Source organism: Homo sapiens, chromosome 22, assembly GCF_000001405.40.
Source record: "Homo sapiens chromosome 22, GRCh38.p14 Primary Assembly".
Lineage (NCBI taxonomy): Eukaryota > Metazoa > Chordata > Mammalia > Primates > Hominidae > Homo > Homo sapiens.
This window is the reverse complement of record NC_000022.11, coordinates 27,590,325-27,596,324: the sequence shown is the minus strand read 5'-3', so window position 1 is coordinate 27,596,324 and position 6,000 is coordinate 27,590,325. Positions and strand designations below refer to the sequence as shown.

Here is a 6,000-nt window from a genome sequence, read left to right as displayed (position 1 = left end):
GCAGCAACAACTATGGCTGTGAACGTGTATTGCATGCCCACTCTGCGTAGGTACAGTGCTAAATGTTTATTTACATGCATTTTCTCATTAAATTCTCTCAGCAATCCTACAAGGTAGAGACTTTTATTATCTTCAGTTTACAGGGGAGGAGGTACAGAGAAATGAGGTCATCTGCCTAAGGAGTATAGCTGTGAAGAAGAGGAGGGGGGATTTGAACCTAGGGCTATCTGGGAAGGAACAGGCCTTGGATTTGGGAAGGCCTGGCTGGAATCCATGGCCAGAAATGTGGTAAAGGAGAAGAGTAAGAAGGGAGAGATGAGACAGAGAGGTGAGAGGAGAGGATTTGGAGGAGGAAGAGAGAGAAATAGAGTTATGTCTTGGCATCCTTGATTGAAAGAGTCTTAGAGGAAGAAACAGAACTTTTGTAAAATATCCACGAGGCTCTAGGTAAGAAGTAAAAGAAAAAGGTGCAGGCAGAAGAGGAAAGACAGGGAGTCTGTGTTAGGAGGAAGATGAGTGGGAAAGAGATGGGGGTGCAGCAAGCCGGAGCTCCTGGGCCCACAGTCTGAGGGGAGGTGGTGGCGGGGGAAAAGGTGCCTGATACTCAGGGCTTTCCAGGGAGAAGGGAAGCGGCCAGCCCTGGCTCTTTGGCTTTCTGTGCCTTCTGATCTATATTCTCAACCAAGGAGAGGGGTCCCAGGGTGACAAGTACACAGGGGTCTTTTCCATGCTCGCTTTGACCAAAGTGCAGCTTTTAAGGCAGTAAGGGTGTAAGGCAGGGAAATTGGGTTGTGAGGGGAAAATGACTATATTTTAAAAAATATTAATTTGCAGGGTGCCATGAGGGGTGTGATCTGGATACCAGGCAGAGCCAATCATGGCCTCCTTTCAGCTCTGTTCACGAGTCACTTGTTCCTTTTTAAAATTTATTTATTATTTATTTTTTGAGACAGAGTCTCGCTCTGTTTCCCAGGCTGGAGTGCAGTGGCACCATCTCAGCTCACTGAAACCTCAGCTTCCAGGTTCAAATGATTCTCCTGCCTCAGCCTCCTGAGTAGCTTAGACTACAGGTGAACACCACCATGGCTGGCTAATTTTTGTATTTTTTATAGAGATGGAATTTTGCCATGCTGGCGGGGCTGGCTTCAAAATCCTGACCTCAAGTGATCCACCCGCCTCAGCCTCCCAAAGTGCTGGGATTACAGGGATGAGCCACTGTGCCCAGCACGGAGCCCTCCCTGCTGCCCCTGACCTTTGTGGGTCCCTGTCTCTGGGTGCAGCTTGGGATCTGAGAGTTTGACTATCACTGATGCCTCCAGGTAACCTCTGCAGCATTTGGCTCTAGACCCAGCTTGACCAGTGGGGCCGTGGAAGCTGCAAGCTACAGATAAGATGGGAGAGGAGGATAAGGAAGAATGGCGTGCAAGTCAAAGGAACAGCAAATGGAATTACATTCATGAAGGACACAGGCAAAAATAATAATGATAACGAGCAGGCATTCTCTGAACGCTGTGCCTGTGGCAGGCCTTATGTTGAGTGTGTTTCGTGGATTATCTTACTGAATCCAGACAGCAGTCCTAGGAAGCAGGTACATTTATAATCCCCATTTTACAGATGGGGAAACTGAGGTTTAGGGAGATGAAGAGAAGGGCCTGGGATTCTGGCGTCACTTACACATCACCCTATGCTGTGCAAGATCCACCTCTGTGATGGGTTCAGGAGCACACAGAGGCAGGGGCATGGCCAATGTGACTCCTTGGGCCATCTGTCCTGTCCACAGACTCTAGGCAGCATAGAACCAGAGCTGACTGGGCCATCCAGTAACATGTCCCCCTTCCCTTGCCTGAGAGATACATAGGTTCTAGGGAATCGGGACTGGTTAAGCCAGCCAGGCGGTTCCTCTCCCCAAGGTGGGGCTTTCCTTCCAGATCTTGGCTAGTTTCCTTGGCAGCAACAACAGCAGAGGGCAGGGGCTGTGCTCCTACTCTGGGCCTTTGCAGAGCCAGGCCCTTGCCTCATTATCTAATTGAATACTGCAACATCCCAAGGAGGTATGATCAATATGCCCATTTTGCAGAACAAAGAGACTAAGGCACAGAGAGGTTGAGTGAACTGCCCAAAGACACTCAGCAGCAGGCAACAGGGCTGAAAGATAAACACAGGGCCCTTCCTCCCTCCAGTCCCTCCCTTCATCTGTTCTGAGGCCAGCATGGCAGGAGAACTGGAAGTGGTTGACCCACCTTCGTTCAGCCTCTTAGGGACATGCTGAGCAGGGCTGTTGTTTCAGGCCTGACATGGACCACGACAGGAGCCACCACTTGAGGCTGCACTTACGTAACATGGTTTCACCCAGCCTGGCCCAAGTGAAAGGTTGCGATTTATGCTGAAACAAGCCACCATATATGTTTAATCCTGAGGCTGTGGTGACCACAGCATTGGCCTGATTTATGTAGCTGTTTTTTTTTTAATAGGAAAATCACTACCTGATGATATTCTGGTCCTCCTAGTATTGACAAGTGTTGGGCCATAAGCTTGAGAAGCTTTGAGAGAAAAGGAGAATTTTGTTTTGTGGCTTCTGTCTGTGGGTTGTGGCTGAAGCTGCCTGGGGATGGCAGGAGATGCACACGCAGGGAGTCCCACACCCTTCTGGAAATGCATGCACCTGTATATGGTGCACGTATATGAACATGTACTTGGTAGTACATGTTCATGCCTACACATGCATGTGCACATGCTTTTGGCATGCCCACATGTATTCACACATGCACATATGTGGAAGAGGGAATGTACACAGTTACACATATGTTCATGCTTATACCCAGCCACAGGCCATGTGCATACTTGTACATGTATGTGTACATGCTGCAGTCATGCCCACATGTATCCACATGTGCACATACAAAGCCATACATATGTGCTCAGGGATGCACCCAGTCACACCCATGAGTGACTAGGCGTATACCTAGCCTTAGTGCATGGGCACATTTGCACCAATACATGCAAGCACACCCAGTAGACATGCATGCCTATGCATACACATGAATGCCAAACTGCCAAACACACTGTACCCTCCTACATCCACACTGTAGGCATGCCCACACACTTGTGGATGCTCATGCATGCACATACACATATGCCTCTCTGATGTGTGTGCACACTCATGCACACCCCACACACACTAGCCCTTTTGCTTCTCCACAACTGGCCTGCAGATGTGAGGGGGGCCTGAGTGAGGAGATACATGGACCTGGGTTCAAATCCCAGCTCTGCCGCTCCCTAGCTGTTTGGCTTTTGGTAGATATTTTAATTCTCTGGGCCTTGGTTTTCCCACCTGTCCAAAGGGTGTCATGAGAACCATCATCTCTCAGAGTGGCCGTGTGTTTAGGGAAGGCAATGTTGATAAATAACTTGGCACAAAGTGAGACTTAGGAAATGGTGGCTCTTAGAACCAATGACCAGATCACCAGGAGCCATGATGCTGAAAGGTGTCACTACTTCTAAGCTTTGCTGTTCCTGCCTTTTCTGATCAGGCGCCTGCTGTTTCCTCTATGTCCCGGGAACAGCCCACGCTCCAGTTATCTGGAACTATTTATGATCCCAAGTCCAGTATGCCTTTCAGGCCTCCAAGATTTTAACCATGCTGTTCTCACTGCCTGGAATGAGCTTCCCCACCATTTCTCAAGAAAACTCCTACTGTTTCTACAAAATCCAGTCTAGGAGTCACCTTCTCAAGGAGGTTCTTCATGATCATCCTTCAACCCCAAGGCCCACCTACAGGCCCTGCCACATCTATTTGTTTGCCAGTCTCTCTCCATTAATCTTCAGTGGCTTGTGTGTAGTAATTACTCACTCCATCATACCCTTTAATAAGAGGTTAGCCAACGAACCGGCCGGCAGAACCCAGCAAGTTGAAATCTCAAGCCTTCTATTCTTAGGATTGTGCTCTTTTCCTGTCACCAAATTATAGGATGAGTGATAACTGTAAAGGCTGACACCAGCTGCTTCCTGCTGAACCCTGTGCTAAACAGTGCCGTCACCATCTCATTAAATGCCCCCACTGATACCGTGAGGTAGGAACTCTTATTATCCTGTTTTGCAGATAAGCAAGGCAAGGCATGGAGAGATGGAGAGGTGAAGTGGAGGGCCCGGGGTCTCCCAAAGGTGAGGAGCTGTGCCTGATACCTGCTTGACTCCAATGTTTGAGTCTCAGTTGTATCCCGTGGCCAATGAATAGACTGACTTGATGATGAATGGCTGGTGGAATGGCTGGTAGAATGACCACCTGTCAAGTGACAGGTGGAATGAATGAATGAATTAAGCAAAGAACAGAAGATGCAGAAACCCACATCTGGGTTGCTCCACAACAAGTCCCCTCAATGCCACCAACCCCAAGACAGATGCTGTAGTCCCCTCTCCAGCCATGTGGCTCTAGGGGCCCCGGGCAGCCTTGGTTTCCTGGCGAGCCCCATTCATCCCCTGACTCACAGCTCCTTTTGGTTATCTAGATGCTGCTGAATTCTGGGTCAGAGCTACCTGTTGGATGTGGATGCTGGGTCCCTCAGCCCTGGCAGGCACTCTTGCCTGGAGTTGCCAGGACTCCAGCAAGCAGGGAATGACCAGGTATCACTCCAGGGCCCAGTCCTCCTGCAGCTGATGGGCAGAAATTTGTCCACAGTGAGTTAAGACCCTCTTGGCCACTGCTTGTGTGTTCCTCCCACTCTGAGGCTCAGGACAGCTGGGGCAATGAGACAAAAGTAGGGCAATGGCAGCTCCTGCCTGTGGACGGACGCCGGGCATAATTCACACGGGAAAGGTGTCAGGAGCGTATTTTGACTACAGCGTCATGAGCTCCGGGATTCGGGTCTGCAAGTGCCATCCTGACAGATAAATTGGTCAGAATTCAACTGTCTGTGACAAAAGGGCTGATCTCCCCAACTGCTTTCCTCCTGGGACCCTGTGGCCCACAGGAGGGGGAGCTGGAAGTCCTTTGGCTTGCAATCGCCCAGCTTCTGAGAGGTCCAGCCCCTGGGCAGAGCCGGCAAGGGGGCTGGCTGCCTGCCCTGGTGCCTCCCCCAGCTCTGGACGCCCTTGCCAGCACATAGCTCAAGGCCGGTGCAGGCCTTCCTGGTGTGTGCACAAAAGACGGGAGAGCAGGTGGACAAATGGGGTTGTACCGAAAGGCTGTGACACTTGGGGACCTGGATGCTGTCTTGTTGTGTGTCCTTGGAACCTCTTTTTCCTCTCTGGGCCTCAGTCTTTCTTGTTTTAAAATGTGGAAGTTCATTACTTCTCTTTTTCCTTCCCTTCTTCCTTTTCTCTCTCCCATCCTTCCCTCACTCTTCCTTTCCTTTTTCTGCCTCTCTTCCTCCCTCCCTCCTCTTCCCTCTACCTATAGACTTTCATGAAAGCTCCTAAGTGTTATACACTATGCTGGGTGCTAAGAGTTAGGTAAGTCTTAACCCAGGAGGTGGAGCTTGTAGTGAGCCGAGATCGTGCCACTGCACTCCAGCCTGGGTACAGAGCGAGACTCTGTCTCAAAAAAAAAAAAAAAAAAAAAGGGGTAAGTCTTACAAGGGTCCTAGCCCTCAAGGCAGATTTTCCTTCATTCACACATTTATTCATTCAACAAATATTTACTCACCCCTGACCTTGTGCCTGGCTCTGGTAAACAGCAGGGCACTGGGAAGACAGGGCCCTTACCCCCCTGGAGCTCACAGTTCAGTGGGAGACATTAATCAAATCAATCTACCAATGAAGTCATGATTATTAATTGTGTTGAAGAGCTATAAAGTGAAAAAATAAAAAGTCTGGGATACAGAAAAGCAGGGAGTCCTATCTGGAGAGGGAGGTCTTGCAGAGGAGGGTATATACATATTTTTTGAGACGGAGTTTCACTCTTGTTGCCCAGGCTGGAGTGCAATGGCACGATCTCGGCTCACCACAACCTCCGCCTCCTGGGTTCAAGCGATTCTCCTGCCTCAGCCTCCCGAGTAGCTGGGA

At 49.8% G+C, this 6,000-nt stretch overlaps 1 annotated feature.

The window, feature by feature from the left end:
- Window positions 4,542-5,041: an enhancer, noted in NCBI's record as "H3K4me1 hESC enhancer chr22:27987245-27987744 (GRCh37/hg19 assembly coordinates)". NCBI's record gives its function as "activates a minimal SCP1, AML or CMV promoter by ChIP-STARR-seq in naive H9 embryonic stem cells {active_cell/tissue: H9 hESC(naive)}" and the evidence as "EXISTENCE:reporter gene assay evidence [ECO:0000049][PMID:30033119]".